The 26,305-nt window shown below is 39.8% G+C and overlaps 4 protein-coding genes and 1 further gene across 9 annotated transcripts in view; all 5 read left to right on the top strand.

The window, feature by feature from the left end:
- Nucleotides 1-26,305, top strand: part of PCDHA@ (protocadherin alpha cluster, complex locus) — a 226,209-nt gene that overhangs the window by 6,970 nt on the left and 192,934 nt on the right.
- PCDHA1 (protocadherin alpha 1) overlaps nucleotides 1-26,305 on the top strand; it is a 226,208-nt gene that overhangs the window by 6,966 nt on the left and 192,937 nt on the right. The window lies entirely within an intron of this gene.
- Nucleotides 1,747-26,305, top strand: part of PCDHA2 (protocadherin alpha 2) — a 217,496-nt gene continuing 192,937 nt past the window's right edge. Inside the window, exons 1-2 of one of the 3 annotated variants that reach the window (NM_031496.2) lie at nucleotides 1,747-4,247; nucleotides 11,955-12,516. In NM_031496.2, the coding sequence (NP_113684.1) occupies nucleotides 1,860-4,247; nucleotides 11,955-11,993 (2,427 nt within the window). In that variant the 5' untranslated portion in view covers nucleotides 1,747-1,859 and the 3' untranslated portion in view covers nucleotides 11,994-12,516. Of the gene's footprint in view, nucleotides 4,373-11,954; nucleotides 12,517-26,305 lie in introns of those variants that run through there. The other 2 variants (NM_018905.3, NM_031495.2) reach the window with 2 other exon arrangements.
- PCDHA3 (protocadherin alpha 3) overlaps nucleotides 7,952-26,305 on the top strand; it is a 211,291-nt gene continuing 192,937 nt past the window's right edge. Inside the window, exon 1 of one of the 2 annotated variants that reach the window (NM_018906.3) lies at nucleotides 7,952-10,486. In NM_018906.3, coding sequence (NP_061729.1) covers nucleotides 8,093-10,486 — 2,394 coding nt within the window. In that variant the 5' untranslated portion in view covers nucleotides 7,952-8,092. Of the gene's footprint in view, nucleotides 12,517-26,305 lie in introns of those variants that run through there. The other variant, NM_031497.2, reaches the window with a different exon arrangement.
- The window catches only part of PCDHA4 (protocadherin alpha 4), a 205,280-nt gene continuing 192,937 nt past the window's right edge, over nucleotides 13,963-26,305 (top strand). Inside the window, exon 1 of one of the 2 annotated variants that reach the window (NM_018907.4) lies at nucleotides 13,963-16,467. In NM_018907.4, the coding sequence (NP_061730.1) occupies nucleotides 14,083-16,467 (2,385 nt within the window). In that variant the 5' untranslated portion in view covers nucleotides 13,963-14,082. Of the gene's footprint in view, nucleotides 24,489-26,305 lie in introns of those variants that run through there. The other variant, NM_031500.3, reaches the window with a different exon arrangement.

Consider the following 26,305-nt stretch of genomic DNA (forward strand, 5'->3'; position numbering starts at 1 on the left):
GGACTATTAGAAAAGAGCACTTTCTGGTAAGAGTCATCAAACTGGTAATTTTTAGTCTAGAAAGCTACTTTGGCCATTTTGCCAGCAGATGGGAAAAGTCTATCTGAGAAGAAGTTCAGCAGGGGAAAAGGAATTATAAATGTGGAGATTATTTTCCTTATGGAATTATGGAAGGGTGTAGACCCAGCTCTGTCTGAAACCAGTAATTAATTACCCATTTCCATGTATGAGTCAGTACAGGATTCTCTGGTTTATTTTTGCTTAAATCGGTTAACTTGGGATTTACTGTTAGAGTATGATTAACATAAATACACATTTCCATAGATGGTACAAATGAGTATCTTAAGATACTGTACATGAGGGAAAAAAATTGTTATTGGAAAAAAAGCTAGCTTTTCTTAACAAGAGCTTTGCTTTTCTCTTACGGACATTGCAAATTTTGCAATTAATTTTACTTCTCTCTTTGCTCTAGGAAGCTGAAAACAAAATTGGTGACATGGTTAGAGTAACTGAAGGTGACCCTTTATTATGGATTTTGTATGCTATCCCACTCCTTGATTCATTTTATTTCATCCTCATCTTATCTTTATTCTATTTTCATTTTTTTACTGTGAAGGGATCAGCTAAAAATTAACAAAAGAAGATATTCTCAAGTAATTAACACAAAAAAAGAGATCGATTGTATTGTTCTTGCATAAAAGTCTAAATGTAATGGAAAAGGAATATTCTAAAGTAATAGTACATTATCCAAATGAGAAACAAATAAATTATTAATTTCAAAACATTTGCAAACAATTCAAAAATCAAAATTAAATCACAAAACAACAGTATATATACACATATATTTTCAATGGACTAAAATACCTTTGATTACTATGTTCTTCATTTGAAGAAATAGTGAAAAATGCTAATATATCCAAAAGAATTGAAAGCAGGGTCTCAAAGAAATATATGCACACCCATGTTCATGGCAGCACTGTTCACAACAGTCAAGAAATGGAAGCAACTCAAATGTCCACGAATACTTGAATGAATAAACAAAACGTGGTGTATACATATGTTGGACTATTATTCAGCCTTAAAAAGGAAAGAAGTCCTGTCACATGTTACAATATGGATGAACCTTGAGGAACCATCCACGGATGCTTGAATGAATAAACAAAACGTGGTGTATACATACGATGGACTAGTATTCAGCCTTAAAAAGGAAATAAATCTTGTCACATGCTACAACATGGATGAACCTTGAGGACATTGTGCTAAGTGAAATAGGCCAGTCACAAAAAGACAAATACTTTACGAGTCCACTTACACGAAATATCTAAAGTAGTGAAATTCATAGAAATAGAAAATAGGACTGTGGTTACCAGAGACTGGAGTGACGGTGAAAAGCGGAGTTGTTGTCTAATGGGTATAGAGTTTCTGTTTTCCAAGATGAAAAATTTGTAACAATGTGAATATACTTAACATTACTGAAATGTACATTTAATCATAGTTAATATGGTAATTTTAAATATTATGTTGTGTGTTTTTTAACCAGAGTAAAAAAGGGTAAAAAGGTAATATATTTTAGGGCTTAAAATAGTTATTTTTTTCCAAGATGAAAGCTATGAGTAAACTTAAACCAGAAAATCGACTAGTTTTAAATCTACAGAATAAACAGTAGAGCCTTCCTTTTAGCCACATGATGTCGCTGTCCACCATAGAGTGTTCTCTAGGAAGGAAAATACCCAGAGCCCCTTTGTTACTTCAGAGAAGCGGAGGAATAAGAGAAGCAGCAGGACTTTAACAGAGACTAGAATATTTAAATTTTTGCAAAACATGCTCTTCTAATTTGATCAAAACATTGAGGATTGGTAATGGCGTCTTCTATCAGAAGGGGCCGAGGGGCCTGGACACGGCTGCTCTCGCTTCTGCTCCTCGCAGCCTGGGAGGTGGGGAGCGGCCAGCTCCGCTACTCCGTCCCCGAGGAGGCCAAACACGGCACCTTCGTGGGCCGCATCGCGCAGGACCTGGGGCTGGAGCTGGAGGAGCTGGTGCCGCGCCTGTTCCGGGTGGCGTCCAAAAGACACGGGGACCTTCTGGAGGTAAATCTGCAGAATGGCATTTTGTTTGTGAATTCTCGGATCGACCGGGAGGAGCTGTGCGGGCGGAGCGCGGAATGTAGCATCCACGTGGAGGTGATCGTGGACAGGCCGCTGCAGGTTTTCCATGTGGAAGTGGAGGTGAAGGACATTAACGACAACCCGCCAATATTTCCAATGACAGTAAAGACTATCCGGTTTCCCGAATCAAGGCTGCTTGATTCTCGGTTTCCTCTAGAGGGAGCATCTGATGCAGATATAGGAGTAAATGCTCTTCTCTCCTACAAGCTCAGCTCCAGTGAGTTTTTCTTCCTAGATATACAGGCAAATGATGAACTAAGCGAATCTTTGTCTCTCGTGCTGGGGAAATCGCTGGACAGAGAGGAAACTGCTGAGGTTAATTTGTTACTGGTGGCTACTGATGGGGGCAAACCTGAGCTCACGGGCACCGTTCAAATACTTATTAAGGTATTAGATGTAAATGACAATGAACCAACTTTTGCCCAATCAGTTTACAAAGTAAAATTGTTAGAGAATACGGCAAATGGGACCTTAGTGGTTAAGTTAAACGCTTCTGATGCAGATGAAGGACCGAACAGCGAGATTGTGTATTCACTCGGTAGTGATGTGTCCTCCACTATACAGACTAAGTTTACCATAGATCCCATCTCAGGGGAAATCAGAACTAAGGGAAAATTAGATTATGAAGAAGCAAAGTCCTACGAGATTCAGGTCACTGCAACTGACAAAGGAACCCCTTCAATGTCAGGACATTGTAAAATTTCATTAAAACTTGTGGACATCAATGATAACACACCAGAAGTCTCAATAACGTCTCTCTCACTTCCCATCTCAGAGAACGCTTCCCTGGGCACTGTCATTGCTCTCATCACGGTGTCGGATCGCGACTCTGGTACGAATGGACATGTCACCTGCTCCCTGACGCCCCACGTCCCTTTCAAGCTGGTGTCCACCTTCAAGAATTACTACTCGTTGGTGCTGGACAGCGCCCTGGACCGCGAGAGCGTGTCAGCCTATGAGCTGGTGGTGACCGCACGGGACGGGGGCTCGCCTTCACTGTGGGCCACCACCAGCGTGTCCATCGAGGTGGCCGACGTGAACGACAACGCGCCGGCGTTCGCACAGCCTGAGTACACAGTATTCGTGAAGGAGAACAACCCGCCGGGCTGCCACATCTTCACGGTGTCAGCGTGGGATGCGGACGCGCAGGAGAACGCGCTGGTGTCCTACTCGCTGGTGGAGCGGCGGGTGGGCGAGCGCGCGTTGTCGAGCTACGTTTCGGTGCACGCGGAGAGCGGCAAGGTGTACGCGCTGCAGCCGCTGGACCACGAGGAAGTGGAGCTGCTGCAGTTCCAGGTGAGCGCGCGGGATGCGGGCGTGCCGCCTCTGGGCAGCAACGTGACGCTGCAGGTGTTCGTGCTGGACGAGAACGACAACGCGCCGGCACTGTTGGCGCCTAGGGCTGGCACCGCTGCTGGCGCAGTGAGTGAGCTGGTGCCGTGGTCGGTGGGTGCAGGGCACGTGGTGGCGAAGGTGCGCGCAGTGGACGCTGACTCAGGCTACAACGCGTGGCTTTCGTACGAGCTTCAGCTGGGTACTGGCAGCGCTCGCATCCCGTTCCGCGTGGGGCTATACACGGGTGAGATCAGCACGACACGTGCCCTAGACGAGGCTGACTCCCCTCGACACCGCCTACTCGTGCTGGTGAAGGACCACGGCGAACCAGCGTTGACAGCCACGGCCACCGTGTTAGTGTCGTTGGTGGAAAGTGGCCAGGCACCCAAGGCCTCGTCGCGGGCGTGGGTGGGCGCCGCGGGCTCAGAGGCTACGCTGGTGGATGTCAACGTGTACCTGATCATCGCCATCTGCGCGGTATCCAGCCTGTTGGTGCTCACGGTGCTGCTGTACACTGCGCTGCGGTGCTCGGTGCCACCCACCGAGGGTGCGCGCGCGCCAGGAAAGCCCACGCTGGTGTGCTCCAGCGCCGTGGGGAGCTGGTCTTACTCGCAGCAGAGGCGGCAGAGGGTGTGCTCTGGGGAGGACCCCCCCAAGACGGACCTCATGGCCTTCAGCCCTAGCTTATCTCAAGGTCCAGACTCCGCAGAAGAGAAACAGCTCTCAGAATCAGAATACGTAGGAAAGGTGAGTCTTTTACTTTTTCTTGCCAATTCTAAAATTGTTCTTTTTAAAAAATTCTATATGATTTCTACTAGTTATTTAGATTCATAGTTCTTCATTTATTTTATATCATCCTACCGTGCGATTTTGAATATGAATTAGAGATCAATTTATTGCATTTACTGAACAATTTATTTAAACAATCTACATAACTGTTTTCTTATTTTTACATTTTGGCACTTCCATCATTAAGTCATAAGTAATAGACCATGAAACACTGAAAAACACCTCAGCAAAATTTGTAAATTAAACATTTCCCATAAATATTTTCTCTCTTAAAAATTGAAAATCACAATCGGAAGAAATTAAAGAATTTGATTATATAATACGTATTTTCAACTGACACTGTCTATCCAATCTGTCGGATAGTGTTTGGAATAACCTATATCCTGGACATTTCTTAGATTGTTCTTTGGATCAACAATGCCCTTGTCTATGCAATAGTTAATAAGCTACATTTTTTTTTTGTTTGTTTGTTTTTGTTGAGACAGTCTTGCTCTGTCACCTAGGCTGGAGTGCAGTGGTGTGATCTCAGCTCACTATAACCTCTGCCACCCGGGTTCAAGTGATTGTCTTGCCTCAGCCTCCTTAGTAACTGGGATTACAGGCGCCCACCACCACGCCCGGCTATTTTCTTTTTTAAATTTTTTATTTTTAGTAGAGACGGGGTTGGTCTCAACTAAATGTTGGCCAGGCTGGTCTCAAACTCCTGGCCTCAAGTGATCCACCCTCCTAGGCCTCCCAAAGTGCTGGGATTACAGGAGTGAGCCACTGCACCTGGTCTTTTTATTTGTATTTGAAAGCAGCCTGAGTGGATATTTTAACACCAGAATTTCCAAAAGTATGTAGCACAGGTTGTTACAACAAAATGACAGCACTTAGGAATAACTGCTAATCTTAAGTATGTTTTTTATAAGTAAAATAACCCATTATTTGGTATAAAGATTTCACACTGATAACATTTTTGAGTTATCAGGCAAAAATAGAGAGTATTGAGAAAAGAGACCCTCTCAATTTTGTTTAATTTGAAAATATTAACATTTAAAAATCACACTGGGGTTTTTCAGGTGGTGGGACTTTTTCTTCATTTAAGTGGAGACTACCCAGTCTTTATGTTAATGGTTGATAAATCATCCTTTCAGTATCATTATCATTAGGCCAATGTGTGCAGGCCTCCCACTGCAGAGATTGACTACTTTTTTCTGGCATCTAATTCTATGCGTGGGAATACATTTTCCATTAATGTGAGCTCACTCAATTTTACCTGGAAGCATCCATATTCCTAATGAAATTGGAATTTTTCCAAAAGATGAGGCCTGGTCTTGGATGACTACATTTTCACTTGAAACATTTATTTTGGGTAATTATAACACTGAACTCGACAAGTAAATGTTACACTTGGAAAGAACTTTTTTAGCTTTTCCAACCAAAGGCAGATGTATTGCAATAAAATAACTGTCTTAAACGGTCCTCTACTATTTAGTTCTTAGTTATTTGCTGTTTATTCTAAATATATGTGCATATTGATAAATCATAGAAATAACTTCCACTAGTGATCTTACCTTTAGCCATTTCATAGTTAGGTCAGAATATCCATTTCCAAGTAATACTTGACCACTATGTTTCTACCATAGGTAAATGATAAGCTTCTAAAATTATATTCACATATATCCAAATCTCCAGGAGTCACAATCTGTTGCTCTATAAGTTTTTTCAAAACATTCTTATTTACATTTTTTCTTGGTTGTCTAAGTGACATCTAGGTGGTAGTAGAAATTATTCACTGATACTTTATCTACAAAATGGCTCAATCTTCTAAACTCATAGTTCCTTTAATATTACCTTTATCTCTTAATAATCAGTATGGAGTCTACTCTGCTATAAATTCTCATGTGACATTCCATTTTGCAATTAGTATAACTCTTAAAGGTACTGAAAAGTGCAGTATTACAATAAGTTGTCAAAGGCATCTCATTACTATGAAGTCCATGAAGTTTAAAAATTTTAAATTTATCTCTTATTTTCAAACTAGCTACCATCTTTAAAAATTCAGCAAAGTGGTAACTGGAATATTAATAGCTATAATTATTTCTTAGGTCCATGCTTTTCAGAAATAATGCTTAAATGTTTACTTACTTCTTCATAATATAGCACAATATAATCATTTAGAAATTATGTAAGTTTGATATTAACAAATATCATTAACTTACATTTTTATTTATCTTGCTTGAAAAAGTTAATTCAAAATATTAATTTATTTATTCATGAAAACAACAATTGATAATTTATCCTATTCTAAATATGAATGATAAAATCTGAGTAAGTTGCAGTCCTGGCTTCCATTTCATGAATACACAGGAAACAAAAGCTGAAATGAAAACTTTTCCCCTAAATATTTAAATCACATGTTTGATTTCATTTTTAAATGGTCTGGGTATAAGCAAAAATTTGTACATTATTTTATTTCTCTAAATTTGACCTCTTTCCATAAATTTTCTTTGCCCCACTTCCAAATGCGGCGAGAATTCATGCTTCTCATTGAATTCACAGATATCTTTAGAATGTTTTATTGCTTAGTGTTAAATATGTTGAGTAAATACTGGCTTATGTTCCTAGGTTACTTTTCTCCCTTCACTGTTTAGTTAAATAATCAATTCTTTCAAGTAACAACTTTTAAAAAAACTGGAATCTAGAAATTCATCAGGAGTGGAGATCATCAAAAACGTAATTACTTTATATTGTTAACATTTTAGTATATACAGGTAAATTCAAATACATAAAGAGTGTGGAAAAATTAAACCTAATATATTCTTAATTGATGTGATGTGAGTGTAACAAATATACAAATCACATTCCCACAATAGGAAACAAATTTCCTGTTTGAATTTCTCTGTAAAGGACCGACTTCTGAAATCTTTATGTAAGTTACAGTCAAGACAGTTGATGAGGCTATAGTTCTTGAAAAAGGGGCATGGGAGGGAATTACAGACATTCTACAAATTTAAAAAACCATAAATGTACATATTTTAAGAAATTAACAGTTGCTGTAATAACATAAAAGTAGATATATGTATGTTTTAATATATACAGCACACACACACTTTTAAATACTTCAACATCTCAATGTTTTGATGATCATAAATCTGAAAGGATCTGATTTTTCTATAAAATGTAACTTGGGTGGTAAAGAGGTTAATGGTAAGTTGTCTTGAATCAGATTGAAATCCCATCGTACCAAGAGATAATATCGTTTTACTTAACCTCTATGTGTTTATAAAAAGCGAATAATATTAAAACTTATTTCAGAGGATTGTGATAATTTAACGGGATAATTCCATTAAGACAAATAGAAAAGTGGCTGTCACATGGGAAATATTTCCAATAGATGTCCACTGTTAAAACAGGAATCACAATATTTTAGTGTATGTCATGAATTAGCACAATTGATAGTGAATTAGTATAAAAGTTCTAAGGAAATATTTAGATAAAATATAAGGACTTTGAGGAGTGACCGAAGGATATTACAATTGAAACTAGAAATTTTGGGAAAGTTCAAACGACATACAAGGAAAAGAAGATACGTTTACATATTTAATACTTACACGTTTAGCCACATGATGTCGCTGTCCACCACAAGGTCTTTCTCCACAAAAGAAATAACAGCGTGCATTACGTATTCAGATACTGCTTTGCTTCATCCTCTCTAAAATTTAACACCGAGGAGTTTAAGAAATGAAGATAAGGAACTCGAATTATTTTTAAACTTTGGATCAATGTAAAGGCAATCTAATATTTGGAAAATACTTGCAATGTTGTTCTCCTGGCGAGAAGATCCTGGAGCCCAGTGCCTGCTGCTTTCTCTTCTGCTCCTCGCAGCCTCGGAGGTGGGGAGCGGCCAGCTCCACTACTCCGTCTCTGAGGAGGCCAAGCATGGCACCTTCGTGGGCCGCATCGCGCAGGACCTGGGGCTGGAGCTGGCGGAGCTGGTGCCGCGCCTGTTCCGGGTGGCGTCCAAAAGACACGGGGACCTTCTGGAGGTAAATCTGCAGAATGGCATTTTGTTTGTGAATTCTCGGATAGACCGCGAGGAACTGTGCGGGCGGAGCGCGGAGTGCAGCATCCACCTGGAGGTGATCGTGGACAGGCCGCTGCAGGTTTTCCATGTGGAGGTGGAAGTGAAGGACATTAATGACAACGCGCCAGTTTTTCCAATGGCTGTAAAGAATCTGTTTATTTCCGAATCCCGACAGCCTGGCTCTCGGTTTTCGCTAGAGGGCGCATCAGATGCAGATATCGGAACAAATTCGTTGTTGACTTACAGTCTTGATTCCACTGAATATTTTACCTTGGACGTTAAAAGAAATGATGAGGAAATTAAATCCCTTGGACTCGTGTTGAAAAAAAATTTAAATCGAGAGGACACTCCTAAGCATTATTTACTAATAACAGCAATTGATGGTGGGAAACCAGAGCTCACTGGCACGACTCAACTAAAGATCACTGTTTTAGATGTAAACGACAACGCCCCAGCGTTTGAGAGGACGATCTATAAAGTCAGATTACTCGAAAATGCACCAAATGGTACCCTAGTGGTGACCGTTAACGCCACCGATTTGGATGAAGGAGTAAATAAGGATATCGCGTATTCTTTCAATACGGACATGTCAGCAGATATTCTGTCAAAATTCCATTTAGATCCAGTCAATGGACAAATCAGTGTAAAGGGTAACATAGATTTCGAGGAAAGTAAGTCATATGAAATCCAGGTAGAAGCCACGGATAAAGGAAATCCCCCAATGTCAGATCACTGCACAGTTCTACTCGAAATTGTGGACATCAATGATAATGTACCTGAGTTAGTTATTCAATCACTATCTTTACCTGTATTAGAAGACTCTCCACTTAGCACAGTCATCGCTCTGATCAGCGTGTCCGACCGCGACTCAGGAGTCAATGGACAGGTCACCTGCTCGCTGACGCCCCACGTCCCCTTCAAGCTGGTGTCCACCTTCAAGAATTACTACTCATTGGTGCTGGACAGCCCTCTGGACCGCGAGAGCGTGTCGGCCTATGAGCTGGTGGTGACTGCTCGGGACGGGGGCTCGCCTTCACTGTGGGCCACGGCCAGCGTGTCCGTGGAGGTGGCCGACGTGAACGACAATGCGCCGGCATTCTCGCAGTCCGAGTACACGGTGTTCGTGAAGGAGAACAACCCGCCGGGCTGCCACATCTTCACGGTGTCTGCGCGGGACGCGGACGCGCAGGAGAACGCCCTGGTGTCCTACTCGCTGGTGGAACGGCGGGTGGGGGAGCGCGCGCTGTCGAGCTACGTGTCGGTACACGCGGAGAGCGGCAAGGTGTACGCGCTGCAGCCGCTGGACCACGAGGAGCTAGAGCTGCTGCAGTTCCAGGTGAGTGCGCGCGATGCGGGCGTGCCGCCTCTGGGCAGCAACGTGACGCTGCAGGTGTTCGTGCTGGACGAGAACGACAACGCGCCGGCACTGCTGATGCCTCGGGTGGGTGGCATCGGTGGCGCAGTGAGCGAGCTGGTGCCGCGGTCAGTGGGTGCGGGCCACGTGGTAGCGAAGGTGCGCGCAGTGGATGCAGACTCAGGCTACAACGCGTGGCTTTCGTATGAGCTGCAGCCTGGGACCGGCGGTGCGCGCATCCCGTTTCGCGTGGGGCTGTACACGGGAGAGATCAGCACGACCCGTGCCCTGGACGAGGTGGACGCCCCGCGCCATCGCCTACTGGTGCTGGTGAAGGACCACGGTGAACCCTCATTGACCGCCACGGCCACTGTGCTGGTGTCGCTGGTGGAGAGTGGCCAGGCACCCAAGGCCTCGTCCCAGGCGTCCGCTGGCGCCACGGGCCCGGAAGCTGCACTGGTGGATGTCAACGTGTACTTGATCGTCGCCATCTGCGCGGTGTCCAGTCTGTTGGTGCTCACACTGCTGCTATATACTGCTCTGCGGTGCTCCGCGCCGCCAACCGAAGGCGACTGTGGGCCGGGCAAGCCCACGCTGGTGTGCTCCAGCGCGGTGGGGAGCTGGTCATACTCGCAGCAGAGGCAGCAGAGGGTGTGCTCTGGAGAGGGGTTGCCCAAGACCGACCTCATGGCTTTTAGCCCTAGCCTTCCTCCTTGTCCAATTAGCCGGGATAGAGAGGAGAAACAGGATGTGGACGTTGATCTCTCAGCCAAAGTGAGTAATTTTTATTTATTCTTTCCAAAATGTCTTTGTTTTTCATTCCTCAATGTTTCCACTCCTCTGGAAATACATTAATAGTTAAGTATGAATTATGTGATTCATAATTAGACTTTTCCAGTTTTGTGGTTTTGTGGTTAAAACGGTAAGATTTTTGTTGCTAATTTTTGAACCAAATCAGCAGTAAGTTATGATATCCACACTTGTAATTTTGTTTTGTTATTAGGTGCAGTAGTAGAATTATTTTATTGCTAAATGCCTGGGTATAAGACAAATATTTTTTCTTAGATGAATTGCATTATTTAGAGAATCTGACTTCGACTTGTTTTATACTTATCCCTATACAATGCTTCTTCAATATCTTTTGCCACTTTTCATTTGGACTTCCTACTACCTGTTAGTACAAATGTTACTTGCTCATTTTATGAGTTCACCTAATGCTTATAACTCCCTATTGATTATGCTTTTCCACCTTCAGTTTCAAAAATTAGATCATTACACCTGTTGTCTTTTATGGAACCTCTTTTATTCTCTTATTCACTTGTTTGGAGTCTCAATCCTTATTTTTTACTTGAATATGATTCATTTTAGGCCTTGTGCTCTAATTTGGCAATACCGTTTATTGTTTCTTGATTTCCCAGTTGGGAAAAAAATCGAGAATAACAATTGCATTTAGAATTGCATCTTTGTTCATCTTTAGTTTATCACTACTTTATTTAATACTACTTTAATAATACTACTGTATTATATGTTAAAATTTATTACTAATAACTAAAATATCAATATGAAGTGAAAATTTAATAGTTGTATAGTATATTTATATATTCATTTTAAAAGAATGTTTTAAATCTTGTTAAAAATAATTTTCAATCTGAACAATATCTTGAAAATAATTATGGTATCTAATTTTAAAACTATCCCTACTAGCAAAACTTTTTATTCATTAGTGTCTTTTGCATACCATACTAAGGATGCTAATATGAAATAAGTTTGATAAGCCAATGTTATAATGTTATTACTGGTTAACTTCTCTGAATAGCATCCTGCCTATTAATGTGTGCCATGCAATAAGTAGAAAACTCCAAATAACCAGAACCAAATGAAATTGAAGGTAGACTTTTTTCTAATCACTACCCCTACATATTTGGTTATCTCCTCTAGCAATTAGTTGGACTCCCATTTAAGTTTCCCTACCACTGGAGAGAAATAGTAACCAACTGAAACCTGGTTAATACTCATTGACAGTGTGGGAGGTCTAACACGTAAAATAGATATTTTTCTTGACTCCTCTCCTTCCCCTCACTTCCATTTTCTTTATTTCCTTTTTTGGCACTATCCTTTGTTGCTCCCTTGTCCATGAAGTAGTAGCCATAGTGTGTCCATCTCAGGTCAGTATTTTAAAAATTTAGTTCTGTTATCAGCTTCTTGAATATAATAGAGTCAGCCAAAGTACTTGTCTTCCCAGATATGGAACTTCAATCTTCAAATCCAGCTTGCCTCTTGAAACTATTGTCTAACAAGACTCTTGGCAAAGACATTTTGAAGACTTTGGAATTTTCACTTCACAGATGTACTGATGCTATGCCAAATAAATATTGAATAGCTACCAAATAAACATTGTTTTCTATTCTGCTGCATTCCCCATCTGTACATTAAAATACCTGGTAAATGAAAATATTACAAATGAAATGGGTGAAAATGGAATTCTTCCTCCTTTTTTCCAATGTGCTTGATGTCAATGATCATTTTGTAAAAATATAGTTTGGGTCCCCACATAGTGAAAGTACTCTGGTTTCTGTTTGATTCAGAAATTTGGTGGGTTTTTTGTTGTTGTTTTGGTTTTTGTGTGTGTGTGTTTGTGTGAGTGTAGTTCTTCAATAGAGAGGGAGCGTAAAGCTATTTTCACTAGATTGATTTTTTGTTTAGACAAACAGGATGAAAATAACTTTATGGATATAGGAGGCAAGGAAAGTTTTTAAATGGCTACCATTATGTCTTTATATATTAAATTTCTTTATGTAAGAAAATGTATTGTGGTTTATTTATTGGGAAGTCTTCATTCCCCATTAATACCCAGGATGATTCAAAGATCATGATTACCAAGAATTAGAATAAAAATTAAGCTAAAACCCAAGTTTTCAACATTGAACTTGAAATACATCTTAATTGGGGAAATGTCTAGAGACTTTTTTTGTATCTTTAGAAAATCATAGAGGCTATTGAAACACCACATTTTCCCAACTAGATATGCGATCACCTTAAATTAATGCATTTTATTAGGCAATGGAAGGAAGCAAACATTTTCTGCAGGGTAAATATTTAGGAAATATTAGGTAAGTCCCTCTGAGCTATTAAACAATTAAGATACAACTATTCCCTTTAAAATATATATTCCAAAAAAGGACACACATACTCAAATGCTTATAAGAGATAAATTAATGTAATAAATGGCCCACGCGATTCCACCCTGGTGCTGCAGTTTGTAAAAGAAGAAAAAATACCTGTTCAATTGGTTTGATCATGACATTCTTCATGGGTCAGGGAAGTTTTAAGTGGTTATAAAATGGGGTAAATTGGCTTTAGAAGAGTTTAGAAATGATGTGGATTACTTATAGACAGGACAAAATGAACATGCTTGTTTATTAAAAAAAGCTATTGGAAGCAGGAAATATTCAGTTTGGCTAAAATATATAAGCACTATAGGAGAAAATAGAAGCTTAGGCACATTACATACTGGAGAACAAGCAAGTACTTATAAACTGTAAGAGTCAAAATGAGAATACCAGCGTTTCTCATGGGAGCAAATGAGTTCCAATGAATAAAATTATTTGGAATGCTTTTCCATGCAAGCTATTTGCTATAACTTCCTGCTTCCTTGCACTTTCAGCCCTGACATGACTCAAGGAAGACATCTAATTAAATGCTGATGGTCTTTGATCCTTTTATAAAACATCTGCAAATTTCCCTGTCAATAGCTTGTTCTTGGCACCAGAAGTTCCCTAGAGACCAGTCCCCTCAAGTCAACAACACCAGAAATACTAGGGTGAAGAGGGTGTTATCATTAATAAAAAAAAACCCTGGAATTCTTGGGAACACAGGAATCTGTAATGAATTTTTCTAATCAACAGTTTACAGTTACATGTTTACAAAGTGTATAGTTAGGTCTCTGTAATACTTAAAACCTGTGTTGAAAAAATTATTTCTACTGAAGTAAAAGTTGCCCCTATGGCGAAACTAAGGACCACACTCAATCAATCAGTGGTACAATGTGTACCACAGTAGTACAAAATGTATTCCTATTCTCCGAAACGACTGAAATAATAAATAAAACCAAGTAGTTTACAGTAGAGTGTGTGGGGGTTTCCACAATTGCTACTTACGGTTTGGAGCCACATGATGTCGCTCTTTACCACAAAATACATGAGAGAAGGAGGAAGAAGGGAAAATTCCTTCTATTCTTACTGGAAGGAACCATATACACTCTTTGGAGTCTGAAATATGGAGGATGCAGCTGCACTTGACTGACCGATTAAAAGATTTCCCTTGACTTTGAGAAACGATATTTAATCAGAACAAAATACTGTGCACTAAAGATGGAGTTTTCCTGGGGAAGCGGCCAGGAATCCCGGCGTCTGCTGCTCTTACTTCTTCTCCTCGCAGCCTGGGAGGCAGGGAACGGTCAGCTCCACTACTCGGTCTCCGAGGAGGCCAAACACGGCACCTTCGTGGGCCGCATCGCGCAGGACCTGGGACTGGAGCTGGCGGAGCTGGTGCCGCGCCTGTTCCGGGTGGCGTCCAAGGGCCGCGGAGGCCTTCTGGAGGTAAATCTGCAGAATGGCATTTTGTTTGTGAATTCTCGGATCGACCGGGAGGAGCTGTGCCGGCGGAGCGCGGAGTGCAGCATCCACCTGGAGGTGATCGTAGACAGGCCGCTGCAGGTTTTCCATGTGGACGTGGAGGTGAGGGACATTAACGATAACCCGCCGGTGTTCCCAGCAACACAAAAGAACCTGTCCATCGCGGAATCCAGGCCGCTTGACTCTCGGTTTCCACTAGAGGGCGCCTCGGATGCAGATATCGGGGAGAACGCCCTGCTCACTTACAGACTGAGCCCAAATGAATACTTTTCTCTGGAAAAACCACCTGATGACGAGCTGGTAAAAGGTCTTGGGCTTATATTACGGAAATCTTTAGACAGAGAAGAAGCTCCGGAGATTTTTTTAGTGCTCACAGCCACTGATGGAGGCAAACCCGAGTTGACTGGCACCGTTCAGTTACTCATCACAGTACTGGATGCCAATGACAATGCCCCAGCTTTTGACAGAACCATTTATAAGGTGAGATTACTAGAAAATGTTCCTAATGGAACATTGGTAATTAAACTTAACGCCTCAGATTTAGACGAAGGATTGAATGGGGACATTGTTTATTCATTCTCAAATGATATTTCGCCAAATGTGAAATCCAAGTTTCACATAGATCCAATTACTGGACAAATTATTGTAAAGGGATATATTGACTTTGAAGAAAGCAAATCCTATGAAATTATTGTAGAGGGCATTGATAAGGGACAGCTCCCACTTTCTGGCCATTGTAGAGTTATTGTGGAAGTAGAAGACAACAACGATAATGTCCCAGATTTGGAATTCAAGTCTTTATCACTTCCAATTAGAGAGGACGCTCCACTGGGTACAGTCATCGCCCTGATCAGCGTGTCCGACAAAGACATGGGTGTCAATGGGCTGGTCACCTGCTCCTTGACGTCCCACGTCCCCTTCAAGCTGGTGTCCACCTTCAAGAATTACTACTCGTTGGTGCTGGACAGTGCCCTGGACCGCGAGAGCGTGTCAGCCTATGAGCTGGTGGTGACCGCGCGAGACGGGGGCTCGCCTTCGCTGTGGGCCACGGCCAGTGTTTCTGTGGAGGTGGCTGATGTGAACGACAACGCTCCGGCGTTCGCGCAGCCCGAGTACACAGTGTTCGTGAAGGAGAACAACCCGCCGGGCTGCCACATCTTCACTGTGTCTGCGTGGGACGCGGACGCGCAGGAGAACGCGCTGGTGTCCTACTCGCTGGTAGAGCGGCGGGTAGGGGAGCGCGCGCTGTCGAGCTACGTTTCGGTGCATGCGGAGAGCGGCAAGGTGTACGCGCTGCAGCCGCTGGACCACGAGGAGCTAGAGCTGCTGCAGTTTCAGGTGACCGCTCGCGATGCCGGCGTGCCACCTCTGGGCAGCAACGTGACGCTGCAGGTGTTCGTGCTGGACGAAAACGACAACGCGCCAGCACTGCTAGCGCCTCGGGCGGGTGGCACTGGTGGCGCAGTGAGCGAGCTGGTGCCATGGTCGGTGGGTGTGGGCCACGTGGTGGCAAAGGTGCGCGCGGTGGATGCTGACTCGGGCTACAACGCGTGGCTTTCGTACGAGCTGCAGCCGGGGACTGGTGGCGCGCGCATCCCGTTCCGCGTGGGGCTGTACACTGGCGAGATCAGCACAACGCGTGCCCTGGACGAAACGGACGCTCCGCGCCACCGCCTACTGGTACTGGTGAAGGACCACGGCGAGCCCGCGCTGACGGCCACGGCCACTGTGCTGGTGTCACTTGTGGAGAGTGGACAGGCGCCAAAGGCCTCCTCACGGGCGTTGGTGGGCGCTGTGGGTCCCGATGCTGCGCTGGTGGATGTCAACGTATACCTGATCATTGCCATCTGCGCGGTGTCCAGCCTTTTGGTGCTCACGCTGCTGCTGTACACCGCGCTGCGGTGCTCTGCGCTGCCCACCGAGGGCGCGTGCGCTCCGGGCAAGCCCACGCTGGTGTGCTCCAGTGCGGTGGGGAGCTGGTCATACTCGCAGCAGAGGAGGCCGAGGGTGTGCTCTGGTGAGGGCCCACCCAAGACCGACCTCATGGCCTTCAGCCCCAGTTTACCTGACTCTAGGGACAGAGAAGATCAGCTGCAGACAACTGAGGAATCCTTTGCAAAGGTTAGTGTATAACATCCTTTTGTTTAATTTTCGTATTGTTTTTCTCTATCAACTTCTTCGTAAATTTATTTCTAAGAGTCAAATTTCCCTGGGTTAAAATTTTACCTCTTTTTACATATCCATTTTAACTAAAGTCTTTTGGAATTATAGGACATCAGAGCAATATATATTGCCTTCCTTCATTTTATGCTGCATTATTCAATGCATATTAACAGAACTGTAATTTCTAGTAAATTTTCACTATATTCACCCTCTTTGTTTTTGGTAATAATCAACATTTTAGAAAACATTTTACTATTATTTAACCTATTACATATAAACAAATGTGCACAGGCTGAAATAATAAAGCTCCATAAATTGTATGAAAGTGAAAAGCTCCGTTGCCTCCATCGCTGAAGCCCCTCGCATGCACCTGCCAAATCACTTCCCTTATTTTTCCTCCAGTGTAACCGCACATTTGCCTTTTATAACTGTTTGTTCGGGGCCTGTTTTGGGAACGTTATCTAATTGGACTTGCACAACATGTATTGTCTGTGCATTTGTGTGTTATTTGTATTTATCACTCATTGTTTATGAAATTATCCATGTTGTTATATGTAGTTGTAGTTTATTTATTTCTGTTTCTAGTACTATTTCATAAATATACTATACCTTATTTATTCTACTGTTCAGGAATTTGCATTGTGCCTCAATGTCTATTTCAAATAATGCCATCATAAATATATTGTACATTTCTTTGATGCCCATGTACACAGATTTCTCTCAGGTTTTTGCCTAAGAGTTGTGTTTGTGGGTCACAGAATATGTGTGTATCTTTGTCTTTTGTAGCTAACACCAACCAATTTTCCAAGATGTTTTTACCTGTTTACATTCCTAGTAGTGCATAAGGCTTTCTGCTGGGCCACATCATCTCTACATTTGTCAGGTTATTTTCATGTTAGCCATTTTACTGGGTGACTTTTGTAATCTCATTTTGAAATTATTTTATATTTAAATGAAGTTGAGTACCTTTCTATTTTATTTTGGCAATTTTTATACCTTATTTTGTGCAATAGCTGCTCAAATCTCCTATTTCTCTAGTCTGTTGTTTTTCTTTTCTTTTTTCTCTTCTTTTTGCTTCCATAGAACTTTATTTATTTCCTTATCTTGTTTTTCTTATTACTTAAACAAATCTTGTATTCTGAACATAACTCCTTTTTTTAGTAGTTTTCAACCTCATGGCTAGTTTTTAATTCTTTTTTGTCTTTTGGTGAATAGAAAGTCATAATTTTGATTAAACTCAATTTATCAATTTTTGCTTCTGATCCTATTTCACAAAGATAATTTTCTGTGGTATCTTTTATTTCATTGTTTACATTACATCTACAATCCATTTGGAATATACATATTTTTATCATTGTTGTGAGGTAGGGGTCAAGATTTATTTTTATTTCTTCTTATTATTTTTATTATACTTTAAGTTCTAGGATACATGTGCACAACGTGCAGGTTTGTTACATAGGTATACATGTGTGCCATGTTCGTTTGCTGCACCCATCAACTCATCATTTACATTAGGTATTTCTCCTAATGCTATCCCTCCCCCAGTCCCCCACACCTCAACAGGCCCCAGTGTGTGATGTTCCCCACCCTGTGTCCAAGTGCTCTCGTTGTTCAATTCCCACCTATGAGTGAGAACATGCAGTGTTTGGTTTTCTGTGCTTGTGATAGTTTGCTCAGAATGACGGTTTCCAGCTTCATCCATGTCTCTACAAAGGACATGAACTCACCCTTTTTTACGGCTGCATAGTCTTCCATGGTGTATATGTGTCACATTTTCTTAATCCGGTCTATCATTGATGGACATTTGGGTTGGTTCCAAGTCTTTGCTATTGTGAATAGTGTCGCAATAAACATACATGTGCATGTGTCTTTATAGTAGCATGATTTATAATCCTTTAGATATATACCCAGTAATGGGTCAAATGGTATTTCTAGTTCCAGATCCTTGAGGAATCGCCACACTGTCTTCCACAATGGTTGAACTAGTTTACACTCCCACCAACGGTGTAAAAGCGTTACTATTTCTCCACATCCTCTCCAGCATGTGTTGTTTCCTGACTTTTTAATGATTGCCATTCTAACTGGTGTGAGATGGTATCTCATTGTGGTTTTGATTTGCATTTCTCTGATGACCAGTGATGATGGGCATTTTTTCATGTGTCTGTTGGCTGCATAAATGTCTTCTTTTGAGAAGTGTCTGTTCATATCCTTTGCCCACTTTTTGATAGGGTTTTTTGTTTTTTTCTTGTAAATGTGTTTAGGTTCTTTGTAGATTCTGGATATTAGCCCTTTGTCAGATGGGTAGATTGCAAAAATTTTCTCCCATTCTGTAGGTTGCCTGTTCACTCTGATTGTAGTTTCTTTTGAAGATTTATTTTTTACTACCATTTTTTTGTTGGACTTTTAAAATGAGTTTGGAAGTGTTCCCTCTCCTTCAATTTTTTTTTTTTGGAAGAGTTTGAAAACAATTATCATTGATTCTTCTTTAAAAGTTTGGTAGAATTCTCCAGGAAAGATATCTGGTTTTGGGCTTTTGTTGTTGTTGTTGTTAGGAGGTTTGGATTACTGATTCAATCTCCTTACTAGTTACAGCTTTGTTTAGATTTTTTATGATTATGTCTTGGTAGTTTGTATGTTTCTAGGAATTAATCAATTTCTTCTAGGTTATTGAATTTTTTGGTATATGATTTTAAAAGCCTCTTATAATTGTGGCATCAGGTGTAATGCCACCTCTTTTGTTTCTGACTTCCAGTCTTTTTGTTTTTTTCTTAGTCTAGCTAAGGGGCTTGTCAGTTTTGTTGTTTTTTCAAAAAATCAACTAAGTTTAAAAACTTAATTTAAACTTTTTTTCATTTATTTTTGCTCTAATCTTTATTATAGTATTTCCTCCCTTTGCTTTGGGCTTCCTCATTTGTCCTTTTTTTCTAGTTCCTTGAGTTGTTAAGTTTTTTATTTGAGATCTTTCTTCTTTCTTCATTTTTAGTGTAGGCATTTACAACTCCCTTCTTTGTTTTTGTTTTCATGTTTAAGAGACAAGATCTCACTATGATGTACAGAGGCACGATCATAGCTCCCTGCAAGTGATCCTTGTGCCTTGGATTCCCAAAGCACTGGGATTACAGGCGTGAGCCACTGAGCTTGCCCAGCTTAATATTCCTTCTTAGTACTGCTTTTGTTGTATCCTGTAAGTTTTTATTGTGTTGTGTTTTCATTTTTGTTTATCTTAACATATTTTCTAATTCATCTTTTGATTTCCCCTTTCATTCAAATGAAATTTTGAACAGAATTTCGTTCAAAATTCTGTTGTTTAATTTCTACATATTTGCAGATTTTCCAGTTTTAATTCCAGTATTGATTTCTAGTTTTATTCCACTGTGGTCAGAAAAGATATTTAGTAGGATTTCAACCTTCTTGAATTTGTTAAGACTTGTTTTGTGACCTGACGTGTGATTTATCCTGGAAAATGCTCTGAGTGTGCTTGAGAAGACTGTATATTTGCTGCTGTTGGGTGGAATTTTCTGTATATGTCTGTTAGTTCCATTTCAGCTATAGTGTTGTTCAAGTCCTCTGCTTCCTTGCTGATTTTCTGTCTGAATGTTCTATTCCTTATTGAAAGTAGGATACCAAAATCTCCTACTACAGTCATTGGAGATACATTCTGAGAATTGTATCATTCTGAGATTTCATCACTGTGCAAACATGAGAGTGTACTTACATATTTACACAAACCTAGATAGTATAGCCTACTACAGACCTAGGTTACATGATCTATTGCTTCTAGGCTACAAACCTGTACATATGTTAACTGTACTGAATACTATAGGGAATTGTAACACAATGGTAAGTATTTGTATACCTAAATATATCTAAACATCTAAAAGGTACAGTAAAAACATTGTACAGATTTTTAAAATGGTACACCTGAATAGGGTACTTACCCTATGAATGGAGACTGCGGGGCTGGAAATTTATCTGCATGAGTCAATGAGTGAATGGTGAGTGAATGTGAAGGCCCAGGACATTACTGTGCACTAATGTAGACTTTAAAGCACTATACATTTAGGCTACACTCAATTTATCAAAAAATTTTCTTTTTACAGGCTGGTCATGGTGGCTCATGCCTGTAATCCCAGCACTTTGGGAGGCTGAGGAAGGAGGATCACTTAAGCCCAGGAGTTCAAGACCAGCCTGGGCAATATAGTGAGACCCTGTCTCTAGAAAATAATTTTTAAAAATTAGCTAGGTGTGGTGACACACACTTGTAGTTCCAGCTACTCAGGAGGCTGAAGTGGGAGGATCCTTGACTTGAGGAGGTCAAGGCTACAGTGAGCTATGGTCGTGCCACTGCACTCCAGCCTGAGCAACAGAGTGAGACTCTGTCTCAATTTTTTTTCTTTCTTCAGTAATAAATTAACCTTAGCTTACTGTAACTTTTCAACTTTGTAAACTTAAATTTTTTAACCTTTTGACTCTTTTGTAATAACGCTTAGCTTAAAACACAAACACATTGTACAGCTGTACAAAAATATTTTCTCTTTATATCCTTATTTTACAAGTTTTTTTGACTTTTAATTTTTTTATTTTTTTCACTTTTACTTAGTGTTTTTTTTTGTTGTTGTTGTTAAAAATGAAGATATAAACACCCATACTAGCCTAGGACTGTATTGGGTCAGGATCATCAATATCATTGTCTTCCACCTCCATATCTTGTCCCACTGGAAGGTCTTCTGGGGCAGTTACACATGCGATGCTATCATCTCCTATGATAACAATATCTTCTAGTGGAATACTTCCCAAAAGACTTTCCTGAGGCTGTTTTGTGGTGACCTTTTTTCTTTTTTTTTTTTGAGTTAATGTATTTTTTATAAGTAGAAAGAGTACACTGTAAAATACCACTAAAAAGTATAGTAAATACATAAAGCAGTAACATTTACTATCTGTATCAAGTATTATGTACTGTAAATTACTGTACATAATTGTATGTGCTATCTTGTACTTTTATATAACTGGTAGTGCAATAGGTTTGTTTACACCAACATCACCACAAACATGTGAGTAATGTGCTACAACATTATGACTGCTACATCATCACTAGGTGATAGGAATTTTTCAGCTCCATTATAATCTTATGGGACTACTCTTGTACATGTGGTCTGTTATTGGTTGAAACGTTGTTATACAACACTTGACTTTATTGTATTGCTATCTATTTCTCCATTTCTGTGAATGTTTGCCTCATATATTTAGGTGTTTTAATGTTGGGTGCATATGTATTTATAATTGCTATGTCCTTCTGGTGAATTGACCTTTTATCATTATATAATGTCCTTCTTTGTCTCTTATGACACTTTTTGACTTAAAGACTATTTTGTGTGATGTAGCTGTTTCCACATTTGCACTCTTTTGGTTACAATTTGCATGAAATTTTTTTAATATCCTTTAACTTTCAGGCTATCCAGGTCTTTAAATCTAAAGCAAATCTCTTGTAGTTAGCATATAATTGGGTCTTTAAAAAAAATCAATTCAACCACTTTGTATCTTTTGATTGGGGGAGTTTATCCCATTTTTATTTAAAGTAATTATTGATAGGGCATAACTTACTGTTGCCTCTTTGTTAATTGTTGTTTGCAGCTTGTAGACTTTTTGCTCCTCTTTCCTCCTCTTACTGTCTTCCTTTGTGTTTTATTGAGAATTGTAATGCTATGTTTTTGTTCCTTTCCTGTTTTCTTTTGTATATCTTCCATAGGTATTTTCTTTGTGGTTACCATGGGGCTTACATTTTAAAACTCTTATAAAAATGTATTTTAAACTGATAGCATCTTTACTACAATCACAAAACAAAACTCATTATGTTTACTTCTCCCCTACCCAAATTTTATGTTATTGATGTCATAAATACATCTTTTTATATTGTGTATACATTATTTTATAGTTAGTTTTTCTGTACTTTTGTCTTTTAATCAGATTTTAAAATATCAGATTTTAAAGTGACTTTTGTACCACCATTACAGTATTATAGTATTCTGTTTTTATCTATATATTTATCTTTACTAGTGAGCTTTATACTTTAATAAAATACCTATGTATTTCTGTTTAGCATCCCCTAATTTTAACTCAAAAGGCCCCCTCTTAACATTTCTTGTAAGGCAAGTCTAATTGTGATCACCTTCAGCTTTTGTTTAACTGGGAAGGTCTTTATCTCTTTTTCATTTTTGAAGACAAACTTTGGTGGATTTGGTATTCTTGGCTGGCAGTTCTTTTTCTTTTCAGCACTTTCAGTATAACATCTCACCCCTTTCTGGATGGCAAGGTTTCTACTGAGAAATCTACTGGTAGAGTTAGGGGTGTTCTTTTGTACGTGATGAGGCATTTTTCTTTTGCTGCTTTCTAAATTCTTAACATTTCTTGGATCTTGATGTCCATTTCCTTCCTCATATTTGGGAAGTTTTCAGATGTAATTTTAAAAAATAAGCTGTCTGTCCTTTTCTCTTATGGCTTCTTCTTTTGAAACTGTCATAATGAGTAGAGCAGCCTGCTCGAGGATGTCCTATCAATTTCTTAGGCTTTCTTTACTCTCTTTCATTTCTTGCTCTTTTTGCTACTCTGTCTGGATAATTTCAAATGATGTGTCCTTGAGTTCACTGACTCATTCTTCTACTTGATTAAGTCTGCTGTTGAACATGTCTGTAAAATTTTCAGTTCAATTATTGTATTCTTCAGTTCCAAAATTTCTTTTTAGTTCTTTTGAATATTTTCTATCTGCTGAAATTCTGATTCTGCTTATGCATTATTTTCCTGAGCTCACTGAACATCTTTATGACAATTATTTTGAATACTTTGTCAAGTAATTCACATAGCTCTATTTCTTTAGGTTTGGTTTCTGGAGGTGTGTTTGTGTGTGTGTGTGTGTGTGTGTGTGGGCACGCACTATTTGATTGGGCCATGTTTCCTGTTTTCTCATATTCCTTATTACTTTGTGTTGATATCTATACATTTCAAAAAAACAAAAAACAACAACACACCAGCTACCTCTTCCAGTCTTTATGGACTGGATTTGTACATGGAAAGATCTTTACTAATCAGGCTGGCTAGAGATTCTAGGGACCTCTCAAACCTTTTCTGTGGATGCATCTTCTATGGACTTGTGTGTATAATTCCTAATTAGAGGGATCTGCCAGCTTTTTTTTTTAAGATGCTCTAATCTTTTTCCCTCTGTGGTGTCTGTGTGCTGTACTGTGGGCCCTCTGGAGCAGCAGTATTCACTCAGCTCTTTTAGGTTCTGAGAAGCCCTCAGTTATAGATTCTGCTGAATCCTATCAGTGCCTGGAGTCAAGTGAGACAGAAACTTGGACTGCCCACTAAAATTCAGGAACTTTGGATGCATTTTACTCTCTCTTTCCCTCATGAGAGAGAGAGTGCTGAGCTGAGTTTCTCTCTGTGTGCTGTATCACAGGTCCTGAGGAGCATCAGCCCGCCACCCAGCTCTTTATTATTCTGAGCTGCCCTCAGGATTTTAGAATATGCCAGGTTCCATCAGTGCTCTGAGATATGCAAGACAGCTCCCCTGAAAAGTCAGAACACTGAATGCATGCTTTACTTTCTCTTTCCCTTCTCAGGGAGAAGACAGGAGCTGGGAATTTCCCCCTGTTTGAATGGAACTGTGCTGCTGGATGGGACTATAGGGAAAGTGCCCCAGAAAAGTGCCCAGCTAGTTTTACACTTGCTTGGAGCCCAGGACCCTCTTAACTGGTTTCGGCACTTATCACCATGGGAATTGGTCCTTGTATTGTTGTTGAGTTGGTATACCTGTGGAGGGTCTGGGGATTCCTATAACAGCATCTTGCTGATGTCACTACCTCTGTTATCTTTTTAAGCTATATATGCTTTTACAAATTATTTTATTGATTTCCTCTTTTGTTGATTATAACACACATCCTTGACTTATTACCTCAATTAAATCAATAATTTTAATAATTCCAGGCAACGCTAAGACCTTGAATCATTATACCATTTACTTGTACCCTACTTTTTGTTACTGATATGCCTTTCAATTATTTATATGTTCTAGACACACAGTACATTATTATCATTGTTTTGTTAACACCTATATATGTTTCTTTCTGGGATCATTTTCCTTCTGAAGAAATTAACATTTCCTTTAGTGTGGCCTGCTGGTAAAGAAACCTTTACGTTTTTATATATCTGGAAATGTCTTAATTTTACTATCACTTTTGAGAAACAGTTTTGGGTATTGAATGAAAGTTATTTTTGCCAGCACTTTTAAGATGACATTCCATGGTCTTCTTTTGAGATGATGGCTGTCAAGTTTATTGTTCAATTAGTGTGTCTTTTTTTCTGTCTAGCTACTTTGTATACTTACTCTGTTTTTCACTTTTAACAGCTTTACTATCATGTGCCCAGTGTTAATTTGCTTTGTTTTTAATCTCGCTTGCAGTTTTCAAAGCTTCTTATATCTGTGGGTTGATAATATTTTATCAGTTTAAGAGAAGATTTAGCAGTATGCCTTCAAATACGGCTTCTACTTCATATTTTCTCTTATATTCTTCTGTGACTATAAGTACATGTATGTTAAATCTTTTCACCATATTCCTTGTCTTTTATGTGCCATTTCTGTTTTTAAATCACTTTTTCTCTTTGTTTCATAATCCATGTTTTATTCTGACCCATCTTTTACTTTAGGAATTTTATCTTGTTATTCTAGGCCACTGTCAAAGTCATTGATTGAATTCTTAACTTGAATCGTGGCATTTTTCCATTTTAGAATTTTATTTTCCTTTTTAAAAATATATTTCTAACTTGGGTACTGGCTAATGTCAAAAGAAACTTTCCTCCCACAAAGTTTTCACTCACTTGATCTTGGATTTTAAAATCAGATATAACCTGAGAGATTATCATTTTTCTCCATTTAATAATGAATCAGGCCAGGCATGGTGGCTCATGCCTATAATCCCAACACCTGTGTGGGCCATGACAGGAGGATTGCTTGAGCCCAGGAGTTCAAGATGAGCCTGAGCAATATAGGGAGACTCCATCTTTACAAAAAATGAAAAAAATTAGCTAGATGTGGTGGTGCACACCTGTGGTCCCAGCTACTTGGGAGGCTGAAGTTGGAGGATGGCTTGAGCCTGAGGCTGCAATGAACTTTGACTGTACCACTGCACTCCAGCCTCGGTCAGAGTGAGACTCTTTGTCACCCAGTTGTATAGAATCAACTATAGGTAGAGGCATAAAAAAGATGCCTGAGATTGCATCTCTTGAATTTAGCTTCATTGTCCCTTTCTATTAAGTGAGATTATTTGACATGAACATTGATATTCACTATCTCAGGGATATGTTAGAACTATTCTCATATTTTCTATCCACAGAGGATATATAATATGGATATTTTAGCACATTCCCTTATAGGGCAGTTATACCTTCCTCTGTGACTCATTATACAGGCAGCGCTAAGATGTGTATTATATGCTCATGGTATCCTTTCTTACTATCCTTATAATAGAATAAATTAATTTTTATACAGAATTAATTTTTGAAGAATCAAATGACATATGTGCATAAATTATTTATACATTTTTATACAATTGCTTCAACATTTCCTCTTCTCTGCAATCTGGTATATCTATATAATTTCTATAGATAAGAGAAGAAAAATATAGCTTATTAAAATTTTATTCTGGGTTTTGTAAGGAATAAAGGACATTTGTACCCTTATGAAGATTAAATTTTCTTGTGTTAGTATATTTCTAAAGGCTTTTAGTGAATTAAATGGAGACAC

Source organism: Homo sapiens, chromosome 5 (genome assembly GCF_000001405.40).
Source record: "Homo sapiens chromosome 5, GRCh38.p14 Primary Assembly".
Lineage (NCBI taxonomy): Eukaryota > Metazoa > Chordata > Mammalia > Primates > Hominidae > Homo > Homo sapiens.